This window comes from Homo sapiens, chromosome 20, assembly GCF_000001405.40.
Source record: "Homo sapiens chromosome 20, GRCh38.p14 Primary Assembly".
Lineage (NCBI taxonomy): Eukaryota > Metazoa > Chordata > Mammalia > Primates > Hominidae > Homo > Homo sapiens.
This window is the reverse complement of record NC_000020.11, coordinates 34,270,940-34,284,971: the sequence shown is the minus strand read 5'-3', so window position 1 is coordinate 34,284,971 and position 14,032 is coordinate 34,270,940. Positions and strand designations below refer to the sequence as shown.

At 48.8% G+C, this 14,032-nt stretch overlaps 1 protein-coding gene across 9 annotated transcripts in view; it reads left to right on the top strand.

Annotated features, from left to right (window-relative positions):
- Positions 1-14,032, top strand: part of AHCY (adenosylhomocysteinase) — a 79,856-nt gene that overhangs the window by 26,865 nt on the left and 38,959 nt on the right. For 6 of the 9 annotated variants that reach the window (XM_011528659.2, NM_001161766.2, NM_000687.4 and 3 more), the window contains exon 10: positions 3,807-4,704. In XM_011528659.2, the coding sequence (XP_011526961.1) occupies positions 3,807-3,938 (132 nt within the window). In that variant the 3' untranslated portion in view covers positions 3,939-4,704. Of the gene's footprint in view, positions 1-3,806; positions 4,705-6,802; positions 12,084-14,032 lie in introns of those variants that run through there. The other 3 variants (XM_017027709.3, NM_001362750.2, XM_047439962.1) reach the window with 3 other exon arrangements.

Below are 14,032 nucleotides of genomic sequence, written 5' to 3'. Positions count from 1 at the left end.
GTAAAGGGCTGGTTGCCACCTAGGAACCCAGGTCCGTCTGACCAGGGCTTCTAACCTTTCAGGAGAGCCAGAGATACCAAGATCTCTATACAAAATGATTTTCAAATACAGGCAACTCATTAAAATTTTATTTTGATTTTGATTTTTTTGAGATAGAGTCTCACTCTGTTGCCCAGGCTAGAGTGCAGTGACGTGATCTCGGCTTACTGCAACCTCCACCTGCCGGGTTCAAGCAATCCTCCCACCTCAGCCTCTTGAGTAGCTAGGATTACAGGCAGATGCCACCACACTTGGCTAATTTTTTTGTATTTTTAGTAGAGACGGGGTTTTGCCATATTGGCCAGACTGGTCTCGAACTCCTGATTTCAAGTGATCCACCCGCCTCGGCCACTGCACCTGGCCTCATTATAATTTAAAAAATAACTGGGTGGGTTAACTTGGACATGTGTATAAGCTGAGTGCAGTCTGCAGGCTGCACGTTGTGGCCTTGTAATAAGATGATACATCCCTGGCCAGGCGCGGTGGCTCACACCTGTAATCCCAGCACTTTGGGAGGCCGAGGTGGGCAGATCATTTGAGGTCAGAAGTTGGAGACCAGCCTGGCCAACATGGTGAAACCCCATCTCTACTAAAAATACAAAAAAATGAGCTGGGCATGGTGGCGCATGCCTGTAGTCCCAGGTACTTGGGAAGCTGAGGCAGGAGAATTGCTTGAACCCAGGAGGTGGAGGTTGCAGTGAGACGAGATTGTGCCACTGCACTCCAGCCTGGTGACAGAGTGAGACCCTGTCTCAAAAAAAAAAGATACATCCCTAAGCATGGCATCTCACTATGGTTGTATGGTCTGCATACTCATGAAGATGAAGTCCTCTGACATGAAATCCAGTGCTCACCCTAACACCCCATGCAGTCCACCCTTCCCTGGGGTCAGGACAGATGTTTTAGTCCTGGCTTTTCTTGGCAGTTTTACAGGTGAACTTTGCTTTGTCCCTTACCCTGTCCAATCCTCAGTCTCCTTATGAGCTAAATGGTAAGAGTAGCTCTTGCTCTTCCAGCCTTTTGCTGCTGGAGAAGCTGTGATGGGGTCTACATACCATCCCTTCATCTTTTGAAAGGCTGGTTCTACCAATTGAGGAAGACGCAGGAAGAGGCCTGGGGCATCTGCCTCCAGGGCCAGCCAACAACTAATCTCCCTGGAGCAATGTCTTGCTGGACCAAACATTTTACTCATAAGGACCTCAAGGCATACCTTGTTCTGTGCAGCTGGTTGTGGGGTTGAAAGATTCTCACTTGATCCCCATCTAATCCCAGTTGGGAGAAATATGGCTATGAGTTTGGTGAGAAATTGGTCAGGCCTTTGAAATGAGGGCAGGGTTGGAAGTGAAAGAGGCAAAGCTCCCGCCTCAGCACCTGACCCTGTCCTTACCACTTTTCTTCATCATTGCTAACATGTGGCTTGGGGACAGGACACTCTTGGCATCATGCCTCACATGCTGTATGCAGGCAAGGGACTAGGTACCTTGGTCAACAATGACAGAGAAGGCAGCCACCATTTATTAAGTCACCTACTGCACGAATGACTCTGAGTAGCACTGATCTTTGTAACAGCCTTGAGAGATGAGTGATCCATCCATCCTGCGAATGGGGAAAGTCAGGTGTAGAGACCGACTTGCTCTCACAGATGTTAAGTATCAGGCCAGGAATAGAACCTAGCTCTGTCTGTCCAAGGTGTTGACCTTAGGACGTGACACACACCTTCTGGTTCAGGGTGCTGGGAGAAGGAAAAGTTCTGGGCTAGTCCGGGCCAAGCAGAAGGTTGATTTCAATGTGTACTGTGGGGGTTGGAGGCCATCGTTCTACCTCTGGAACTGACGTGGACTCAGTTCTAGGCTGGGCCCTGGTCCTACTGTTGCCCGCCTCTCTGCTGAGCACATCACCTTCTGCAGGCTCTTTGCTTCATCTGAAGATACAAGGATAAACCGCACCCATCCTACTTCTTAAGGGTGTTTGGGAGGCTCTAATGAAACAGTAGATGTGAAACCACTTGGGAATGTAAAAGCTGTGGGCTGAGCTGTGGTCAGAGGCCGCCATGCCATCATGGGACAGGATGGGGTCCCTTAGGGGTAGGGAGAGGCCTACCTCATGAGAGAGTTAGAGGCTTGCTTGTATTTAACTCTTGCCTCTGTCCTCCTCGGTTTCTGCATAATCTCTTCAAAGCTGCTCTAGAGGCCATAAGCTGGGATGCTTGAGACACATTTTGGGGCTTTGAAGCCAGATAGACCTGGGTTCAAATCCTAGCTCTGTCATTCACTAGCTTGGTGACCGTGGACACGTCATTTCACGTTTCTGAACCTTGATTTCCTCATTTTATAAAAGGAGGATGGCAGTGGATTAGAATCCTTTTGGTCACAAGTGATAGAAACACTATTCAAACCAGTGTATCAGTTATCTTGCTGCATAACAATCTAACCCCCAGACTTACTGGCTTCAAATAATAAATATTTATTATTTCAGTTTCTGTGGGTCAAGAATTTGAGATCAGCTTAGCTGGCTGCTTCTGACTCAGGCTCTTTCATGAGGTTGCGGTCAAGATTTCTGCCAGGGCTGCAATCATCTGAAGGTTTGACTGGGTCTGGAAGATCCTCTTCACATCGCTGTTGACAGGAGGTCTCAATTCCTCATGCATGGGCCTCTCCAGAGGGCTGCTTATGCATCCTCAGGAGATGGCATCTGGCTTCCCCCAGAGTAAGTCATCCAGAGGAGAGCAAGGAGGAAGCCACAGGGTCTCTATGAACTTGTGTCCAAAGTCACACACCATCACTTCTGCTTTCTTCTATTCATTAGAAAGGAATCACTCGGTGGGGTGGGGGGAGGCGGTGGGGATTAGGCTCTAATTCTTAAAGGAGTATCAAAGAATTTATAGATACATTTTAATCAAAAAAAGCAACCAGTTTAATCCAAAAAAGAACTTTATTCTCGAATCTGCCAGGCACGGTGGCTCACGCCTGTAATCCCAGCACTTTGGGAGGCTGAGGCAGGCAGATCACCTGAGGTCAGGAGTTCGACACCTGAGGTCAGGAGTTCAAGAACAGCCTTACCAACATGGTGAAACCCCATCTCTACTAAAAACAGAAAGTTAGCTGGACGTGGTGGTGCACGCCTGTAATCCCAGCTCCTCGGGAGGCTGAGGCAGGAGAATCACTTGAACCTGGGATGTAGAAGTTGCAGTGAGCCGAGATCGTGCCACTGCACTCCAGCGTGGGCGTCCGAATGAGACTCTGTCACAAAAAAAAGAACTTTATTCTCGGATCCAAACACTGGAAACCTAGGATTCCGTGTCATCATGGCTCTGTCCTTCTGTCTCTCGGATCTATCTTCATTTCACTTGTAAAATAGACTTGGAACTGGTGAGCTGAGATTGATAGATACCCTTCCCTGTTTAGGAATCCCAGTGGGGTTGGAGCACCTTGTCTCTGCCTGTCATGGAAAATATGTCCTGTGCATAGATCAATTCCAGAGAAGCATTTTGGTTAGCTGCTTGAGTTGAAGAATGAGGAAGGAGATGTGATTGATGGTCCTGTCAAGCCACATGTAGGGGAGGGTGTGGCATGGTTCCCTTTTGAGGGGGGCTGGGCAGCCAAAACAACACATTAACTGAGGCTGGGTGTGAGGATAGAAAGAGTTAACATGAGTACCACACATGGCAGAAACCCTAACAGAACACTTCTGCCTCTATTGGCAGCCAGACGCGTGTAGGGGTCCCAGAAAATGGCACTGATTCCCGGTCTTCCTTTGTTTCTCCCCAGCTGGATGAGGCAGTGGCTGAAGCCCACCTGGGCAAGCTGAATGTGAAGTTGACCAAGCTAACTGAGAAGCAAGCCCAGTACCTGGGCATGTCCTGTGATGGCCCCTTCAAGCCGGATCACTACCGCTACTGAGAGCCAGGTCTGCGTTTCACCCTCCAGCTGCTGTCCTTGCCCAGGCCCCACCTCTCCTCCCTAAGAGCTAATGGCACCAACTTTGTGATTGGTTTGTCAGTGTCCCCCATCGACTCTCTGGGGCTGATCACTTAGTTTTTGGCCTCTGCTGCAGCCGTCATACTGTTCCAAATGTGGCAGCGGGAACAGAGTACCCTCTTCAAGCCCCGGTCATGATGGAGGTCCCAGCCACAGGGAACCATGAGCTCAGTGGTCTTGGAACAGCTCACTAAGTCAGTCCTTCCTTAGCCTGGAAGTCAGTAGTGGAGTCACAAAGCCCATGTGTTTTGCCATCTAGGCCTTCACCTGGTCTGTGGACTTATACCTGTGTGCTTGGTTTACAGGTCCAGTGGTTCTTCAGCCCATGACAGATGAGAAGGGGCTATATTGAAGGGCAAAGAGGAACTGTTGTTTGAATTTTCCTGAGAGCCTGGCTTAGTGCTGGGCCTTCTCTTAAACCTCATTACAATGAGGTTAGTACTTTTAGTCCCTGTTTTACAGGGGTTAGAATAGACTGTTAAGGGGCAACTGAGAAAGAACAGAGAAGTGACAGCTAGGGGTTGAGAGGGGCCAGAAAAACATGAATGCAGGCAGATTTCGTGAAATCTGCCACCACTTTATAACCAGATGGTTCCTTTCACAACCCTGGGTCAAAAAGAGAATAATTTGGCCTATAATGTTAAAAGAAAGCAGGAAGGTGGGTAAATAAAAATCTTGGTGCCTGGAAGAATTTTGAGCCTTTATTTTATAGATAATCCTCTGCCAACAATGTATGCCATGAATAGGGGGTTATAGTCGTGCTGATGAAGCATTCACGGGGTACTCTGCAGTGGAACGGCTGTCTGTGGTCCTTAGGCTTGAAAGAATGGGTAAAGTGAAGAGGGAACTCTTTCGTTTTTTTTTGAGACAGAGTCTCGCTCCGTCACCCAGGCTGGAGTGCAGTGATGCAATCTCAGCTCAATGCAACCTTCGCCTCCTGGGTTCAAGCGATCCTCCTGCCTCAGCCTCCTGAGTAGTTGAGATCACACCCAGCTAATTTTTTTTTGGTATTTTTAGTAGAGACGGGGTTTTACCATGTTAGCCAGGCTGATCTTGAACTCCTGACCTCAAGTGATCTGCCTGGGATTATAGGCGTGAGCCACTGTGCCCGGCTGTTTGCAGTATTTTTAAAAGTGCACTAAGTGGGGACTCACATTAAGTTCTAAAGATACAATGTCAAGTAAAACCCTTAAGTCACACTCAATGGCCCATGATCAGTGAGGCATGAGGGGCTGAAAACTGCTCACTCTGGCTTAGATGCTCATCAGTGTGTCCTGCCTGACAATTAATTCTTACCTTTTCTTTTTCCCTGAGTGCACATAGTTTAAGTTGCATAAGTTACGTGTGTATGTGATGTGACTCTGCTGTAAATAGTGTACAGACTTTGGTACTTCAACTATTATTAGTACCAAATGACAGGGCACCCACTCCCAACTGACCACAACACAAGTGGTCAAAACAGGCTGAGATCTTGCACACTTGGGTGACAGGCATGGTGCAAGCATCTTTTAGAGTTGTTGTTTTTTTTTTTTTTCTAGACAGTCTCGCTCTGTTGCCCAGGCAGCAGAGTGCAGTGGTGCTATCTCAGCTCACTGCAAGCTCCACCTCCCAGGTTCATGCCATTCTTCTGCCTCAGCCTCCCGAGTAGCTGGGACTACAGGCACCCGCCACCACGCCCGGCAAATTTTTTTTTGTATTTTTTTTTAGTAGAGATGGGGTTTCACCATGTTAGCCAGGATGGTCTCGATCTCCTGACCTCGTGATCCACCCGCCTCGGCCACCCAAAGTGCTGGGATTAGAAGCGTGAGCCACCGTGCCTGGCCTTTTTTTTTTTTTTTTTTTTTTTGAGACGGAGTCTCACTCTCGTCGCCCAGGCTAGAGTGCAGTGGCACAATCTCAGCTCACTGCAACCTCTGCCTCCTGAGTTCAAGCAATTCTCCTGCCTCAGCCTCCCAAGTAGCTGGGATTACAGATGCTCATCACCACACCTGGCTAATTTTTGTATTTGTAGTAGAGACAGGGTTTCACCATGTTGGCCAGGCTGGTCTTGAACTCCTAACCTCAGGTGATCTGCCCACCTCAGCTTCCCAAAGTGCTGGGATTACAGGCATGAGCCACCATGCCTGGCCTTAGTGCACTAAGTGGGGACTCACATTAAGTTCTAAAGATATGATGTATCTTTACATCATATGTAAAAAGGTATGGTCTTATTTATTCCTCATAGAGACTTGAATTCCCCTGTCTGAGGCTCTGAGAGGAGCCATAAGCATGAGCTGACTTTTGTATGTGGTAGGACTTAGACCAAAATCCAAGCCCCTTCCACACCAGCAAGGTCAGGTTTAGGAAGGGAGCCTGGATTCAGATTTCCCAACATTAGATCAGGAACTCTGGAACTGTAAACCAGAGGGCTACCCAGAGCCCTGCCTCAGTTCTTCTACTGGGGTGGCTGCTGGGACGATAACTTCACAGTAGAAAAAAGGAGAGGCTGCTGTTCTTCTAAGCCAGAGAGGTTGAACGCCTTCTGCTGCACAGCCGCTGCCTGTGTGTGCGCATGCTCCCTTCCCTCTAGCGTGTCTCCTCCTGGATGTGGGAAATGCTGTCAGAATGCTTCCTCCTGCCAGATCCCATGTAGCCCCCCACCTCCCTTCTTCCAGGAGTTCTGGTTTCTGTTATGCCAGCCTCTTCCTTTCCTGTTCGGAGGTGTCCTGTCAGTTCCCAGAACCTTTTGTTTCAGAAAACACAGCCCCTCTTTTCACATCTGGTCTCAGACTTACCTCTGATTTCAGGTCTGCTAATCTGTCACATGTGTGACACTGACCGGGTACCCACAATGAAAGATGATGTGTCTCCTGCTCCACCCCCAATACCCCAATACTCCACTCCTGATATCTGGGCTGCCCCCATCAAAGCTTCATGGAGAAAGAAGGAATTGGCCAAGGGTCCTGCAGTATCCAGGCCTAGCCCTGGTTGGATTTTTTCCAGGAAAGAGATGGGAAGATGAGGCCTGTGGTTGGTGGAAAGTGGCTGTTTATGGAGCAGTGGACTGAACTTTGGAAAGAGGAGCCCTGGGTCTGCTGCTGACTCACTGTGTTCCCCGCAGGGACAGAAATACCTACTTCAGATGGCTGTCTTGACGCTCGAATGATAGAACATTAGTGAGGAGTTTTTATGCTGAGTTTTTTTTTTTTTTTTTTTTTTTTTGAGATGGAGTCTTGCTCTGTCGCCCAGGCTGGAGTGCAGTGGCGCGATCTCGGCTCACTGCAAGCTCCGCCTCCCAGGTTCACGCCATTCTCCTGCCTCAGCCTCCCGAGTAGCTGGGACTACAGGCGCCCGCCACCGTGTCCGGCTAATTTTTTATATTTTTAGTAGAGATGGGGTTTCACCGTGGTTTCGATCTCCTGACCTCGTGATCTGCCTGCTTTGGCCTCCCAAAGTGCTGGGATTACAGGCATGAGCCACTGTGCCCGGCCTTTATGCTGAGTTTTAAGGGCTGTATGAGACACCAGGTGGTGGGAGGGAGCTGTTTTGAGAGCAGGGAATTTAGGATACTTAGGAAATTAGAAAATTAGAGAAGTCATAGGATCTTGGAACTAAGGGAGAACCTTAGAGTCCTGTGGAGCAGAACCCAGCATTTGTATGTGGAGAAACGGAGGCCCAGAGAAGTTGTGACTTATCCGGGTCACTCTGCAGGTCTGGGTGTCCCACCCGAGTCCATGTCAGGGCTCTTTCTGCACACCAAGCCCCATGCCCACCTCTGTGTGACTGGCTGTGGTGGGAGGGGCCTCCTAGGCTAGAGGTGCTGGGATCCCTTTTCAGTCCAGAAATAATGAGCTTAGAGGGTCTGGAAGTAGCATGGACTAAAACCCAGGAAGGATCCACAGGGACTGTTGATGCCAGTGAGGACTCCAGGAAGCCGGATCACGGGGACTGTTGATGCCAGTGAGGACTCCAGGAAGCTGCTGTTGGGACAGCCCTGCTTTGGGAGTCTGAGGTTCCAGGAAACCCCAGGAATCCGGATTCTCATCCCTGAGACCTACTCAGGACTAGCCCAGGGGACCGAGCTAGGAAACCTGCTTGAGGTGGTAGAGGCAGCCAGGGGTGTGCAGTGGTCCGGGCGGGCTTCGATCAGTTCCAGGTTGGTTGCTTCTCCAAACTGGCTCCAAGACAGGCATGTGGCTCAAGTTGGTCTGGACTCAATCCCGGGACTTTAGGACTTTTGCTAGAAATCTGGTGTGGTGCAGGAGCGACTCCAGGATTCACTCTGTGGGCTGCTTGGACTCAGACTCCCCCAGGACTAGAGGCTGCTTCTCCCTGGTGGGAGGAGTTACAACCTTGCAAGGGTTCTAAAGACCCCCGGGTGCTGGGTGGTGGGCTTTTCCTGACAACTTCCATAAGTTATTGGAACCTAAATTCACACTGCTTAGCATCGTAATAGTCTGATCAACCCTGCTCAGTGTTGTCATACTTGCCCTATTACCAGGGAGAGAAATAGAGAGGTGGGTGCCTCCCTAGAGTATCCACCCACACTGTGTACTGAATGCCCCTCCTCAACCTGTCTCTCGTGGGGACCTGCACCTGCTTTTCCTACTAACTGCTGGCTTGTATTTATTCCCCTAAAGCCTGTTCCATAACCCAGTGTGGTTCTTAGACTTGAGCAAACCTCAGAAACACCTGGAGGGCTTATCCCCAGTCCTGATTCTGTAGGTCTGGGGTGAGGCCTTATAGTGTGCATTTTAACAACGTCCCCAGTGTTTCCCAATGCTGCTGGTGCACACCAAGTGTAGAATTTGCCTCTGTGCCTGTTGCACAGTAGGTGGAGGTGGCAACTGTAAAAGAGACCCAGCTATCCTAAAAACAGAAAAGGTACTGTCTTCAGTGGGGCTGCCAGGATTGGAAGGAATGTGAGCCTGTAGCTGCTCCTTTGCCCCCACGAAGGCCAGCTTGCCTTAGGATGAAGCCAACACAGACCGGGTGCAGCAGCTCACACCTGTAATCCCAGCACTTTGGGAGGCCAAGGTGGGCAGATCACCTGAGGTCAGGAGTTTGAGACCAGCCTGGCCAACATAATGAAACCCTAGCTCTACTAAAAAAAAAATAGAATAAAAAAAAAAATTAGCCGGGCATGGTGATGCACGCCTGTAATCCCAGCTACTCAGGAGGCTGAGACAGGAAAATCACTTGAACTGGGAGGTGGCAGTTAGAGTGAGTTGAGATCACACACTGCACTCCAGTCTGGGGGACAGAGCAAGGGCTCATCTCAAAAAAAAAAAAAAGAAAGATATAAAGCCAACACAATTGAGAGAGAGTGACACATTCCAGAGAATATTTGAGTAGCTGAATCTAGACATGTTTTACACTAACTGGATCTAGCCCCTTTTTAGTGAAATGAACCCCCCAGAAAGTTACCTTCTTTCCCTAAACCCATCTCAATAGGTTGCTGTCTGACAATTCTGAGTCTCGCTGTAGTGGAGAAGACATTGAAGACACCAGGTTATAGAAAAACAACAGAGAAAAGAAAACAGAGGGCCGGGTGTGGTGACTCATGCCTGTAATCCCAGCACTTTGGGAGGCCGAGGCAGGCAGATCACCTGAGGTCAGGAGTTCGAGACCAGCCTGGCCAACGTGGTGAAACCCCGTCTCTACTAAAAATACAAAATTAGCCTGGCATGGTGGAGCACACCTGTAATCCCAGCTACTTGGGAGGGTGAGGTAGGAGAATCGCTTGAACCCGTGAGGCGGAGGTTGCAGTGAGCGGAGATCAAGCCACTGCACTCCAGCCTGGGTGACAGAGCGAGACTCCATCTCAAAAAAAAAAAAAAAAAAAGAAAATAGAGAACTTGGGCCAGGTCCCCTCCCAGCTGCACCATGAAGGGGACTGGATTCGCCCCCAAGACTGCCTTGTCCAATCCCTTCATGGTGCAGCTGGGAGGGAATTTTGCCCAAGGTCATACAGCAGTGAGGGGCAGTGCTGGAACAGGAATTTGTACCACCTGACTCTTTTAAAGAGACAAAGTCTCATTTTGTCATCCAGGCTGGAGTATAGTCACATTCATGGCTCACTGCAGCCTTGAACTCCCGAGCTCAAGCGATCCTCCTGCCTCAGCCTCCCAAATAGCTCAGACTACAGGCGCGTGCCACCACACCTGGCTAATTTAATTTAAAATTTTTTTTTGTAGAGATGGGGGCTCGCCATGTTGCCCAGGCTGGTCTCAAACTCCTGGGCTCAAGCAATCCTCCTGCCTCGGCCTCCCAAAGTGCTGGAATTACAGGAGTGAGCCACCATACCCCAGCCCCTCTTGATTCTTTATCAGTGCCCTATCCTGTACCTCTCATGGCCTCTTGAGTAAGTACTGACCCAAGAAAAGAAGATGCAGCTGCTTCTCTCCAGAAGCTCCACTAGTGAGACTACTCCCTGGGGTGGTGTTGACAAGGTCTCATTAGAGAGCTGGGGAGTCACATGGGGAGTCTGTTGGGTACACCTCTTGGGCCGAGTCTCTTGCAAGGTGTTGGCTCTACGCAGGCAGAGTCCCCTCTGCCTGGTTTTCAGTGGCCTGGTGTTTAAGGGCCTAGGCTCTGGAATGACATGGGCTGGATCTGAATCCCCATGCTGAGGTGTGAGGTCTATCTAGACACATTGCTTAACATCTTTGAGCCCCAGTTCTCTTATTTACAGTGATACTTAGGTCAAGACGTTAATTTGATAGTCTTGGTGTCATGCCTGGCATGAAGTAGCTGCTCAATAAATAATCACTGTTAGTATGGCACTATGATAACTGCAGACCACACAGGCCTCGAGCAGTGAGCAGCAGCCCAATATTTACTATTGCTCTGGTAGTCTATACAGCCATAGAGTCCACGAATTCTAAAGAGGAGCTCTGGAAAGTGTGAAAGCCTCTGGACTCCAATGAAGCTATTTGCTGGGCTCCCCAGGCAAAAAGAAGGCATAATAATTGTCAATATCATCATTCTCACCATTAGAAGGTGCCACCTCCCAGACTCTACAACTCGTATATCCAGCTGGGAGAGCTTCTATTTCTCTGCAGGCAATCAATTAATAGAAACCTCCTTTCTGTAATGAACATGAAAGCATTTGACAGTTTTAAAGGATTTTACCAATTAAACAAAAGTCATTCCTTTTCCTCCTTCCTGAACCCAATACCCGCTCCCAACATACACACCTTCTACTCCTGGTACATGGAAGAAGAAAGGGTAACTCGTCTACTCTAGACTCATCTTAAATTGACTACAGATGGTTTGGCTAATTCAGTTCAAATTAAATTCTTTTCTTGCCTATCCTGTCCTCTTCGCAAATGGGAATTGGCCCTTGGAGTTAAATTTCTTTCTAAAGTTCCTACTGTATGACTGGGGTAATTTCTCAACAATGGCTGGTGATGTTAGATCTGTGGTTGCTCAAAAAGATGGAGGGGCTGGCTGCAGCGGCTCACGCCTGTTATCCCAGCACTCTGGGAAGTCGAGGTGGGTGGATCATTTGATCACCGTTCTGGGATTACAGGCAATGAGCCACCACACCCAGCCTGAACAAGTCACTTTTGATGCTACCATTTCCATGTTTACAAAGTGAAAAGTAAATCAGTCAGAGTATATTAGTTGCAAACAACAGAAACAACTCTAGCTAGCCTGAGAGAAAAAAAAGGTAGAGGGTTAGTCTCCTGGAGAGATTTGGGGACCTCAAAGGAAAGATTATACAATGTGCCTCCAAAAAAAAAAAAAAAGGGTCACCACAAGGGCAAATGCGTGATTTAATGGGGTTGGGACTTTCAGCCCCATCCCCCAACCTCTGGGGAGGAGAGAGGGACTGAAGGTCAAGTTGATCACCAATGGCCAATGGTTTAATCAATCATGCCTACATAATGAAGCCTCCATAAAAACCCAAGAGGACAGGCTTCAGAGAGCTTCCTGATAGCCAGACATGCTGGGGTTCCTAGAAGGTGGCAGGCCCAGGGAGGACGCAGAAGCTCTGCACCCCTTCCCATACCTCACCCTATGCATCTCTTCATCTGCAGCCTTTGTAATAGCCTTTATAATAAACTGGTGTGTTTCCCTGAATTCTTTTTGGTTTTTTAATTTTTGAGACACAGCCTGGAATGCAGTGGTGTGATCATGAATCACTGCAGCCTCGACCTCCTGGGCTCAAGCGATCCTCCTGCCTCAGCCTCTTGAGTAGCTGGGACTAGAGGCTTGTGCCACCATGCCTGGCTAATTTTATTATTTATAGAGATGGGGTCTCACTCTGTTGACCAAGCTGGTCTTGAACTCCTGGACTTAAACGATCCTCCCACCTTGGCTTCCCAAAGTGCTGGGATTACAGGTGTGAGCTACTGCACCTGGCCTTGCTTCCCTGTGTTCTGTGAGCCTCTCCAACAAATTAATTGAGCCCAAAGAGGGTTGTGGAAACCCCAACTTAAAGCCAGTTGTCAAAAGTTCTAGAGGCTCCACTTTTGACTGGTGTCTGAAGTGAGGGCAGTCTTGGGGACTGAGCCCTCAGACTGTGGGATCTGATGCCATCTCCAAGTAGATAGTGTTGGAATTGAATTGGAGGACACCTAGCTGGTGTCCACTGCAGAACTGATTGTTTGCCTGCTGGTGGGGGGAAATCCCCTCTCATTTTGGGGTCACACAAGTCTGTTGTGTGTTGATGACTGTTGTGGTGGTGTGAAAGCAGAGGGAAACATGGTTTGAGAATTTTTTCCTGAACAATGGGACTGTCAGTCAAGGTGGACCACCCTTTCTTGGCCCCACATCAGGTGAATCAGCCTCTCCTGGGAATTACTTTGAATGGTCCAGTGCAAGGACTGAAGAGGTTGGAGCTGACATTCCTGTGGCTTTGCTTGGAAGACATTGTCCGCTTGGCTCCTCTAGCACCCCTCAGGGGCTATTTTTTTTTTTTTGGAGGCACGTTGTATAATCTTTCCTTTGAGGTCCCCAAGTCTCCCCAGGAGACTAACCCTCTACCTTTTTTTCTCTCAAGCTAGCTAGAGTTCTTTCTGTTGTTTGCACCTAAAATACTCTGACTGATTTACTTCTCACTTTGTAAACGTGGAAATGGTAGCATCAAAAGTGACTTGTTCAGGCTGGGTGTGGTGGCTCATAGCCTGTAATCCCAGAACTTTGGGAGGCTGAGGTGGGCAGATAGTTTGAGGTCAGGATTTTGAGACCAGCCTGGCCAACATGGTGAAACCCTGTCTCTACTAAAAATACAAAAATTAGCTGGTGTGTTGGCGCATGCCTGTAATCCCAGCTACTCGGGAGGCTGAGGCAGGAGAATCACTTGAACCTGGGAGGCAGAGGCTGTGGTGAACCCATATTGCGCCACTACACTACAGCCTGGGTGACAGAGCAAGACTCCGTCTCAAAAAAAAAAAAAAAAAAGGCTTGTTCAACGCCACACTATGAGAACTTTGGGCACAAGTTTAAGGCTATGCCCTTCAGGAAGAAATGATCCTGAATCAATCAGTGGCCACAAAGGTAGGGCAAATCTTCCTAGGTCAAGTTCACCCTATGTGTGTGAGACAGAAATAGAATGAATAATGGTGTTGGAGACGGCGGTCCCAGATTCTCACAACAATCAAACCATAACTCTGAGTCACAAATGTGAGTTTCAGTTCTGGTCATTAGACCAGCAGAGTTTTGAGAGGCCCAGGACCATGCTCTTAGCACTTTAGGCTTGAGGAGGAATTCTGAAAAGGAGAAGGAGGTGGGGCGTGGTGGCTCATACCTGTAATCCCAGCACTTTGGGAGGCTGAGGCGGGTGGTTCACTTGAAGCCAGGAGTTTGAGACCAGCCTGGCCATCATGGCGAAACCCTGTCTCTACTAAAAATACAAAAATTAGCTACTTGGGAGGCTGAGGTTGGGGGATAGCTTGAGCCTGGGAGTTGGAGGCTCCAGTGAGGCAAGATTGCACCACTGCACTCCCACCTGAGTGACAGAGTGAGACTCTTTCTCAAAACAAACAAACAAACAAACAAAAGCAAGAACTGGCTGGGCCCAGTGGCTC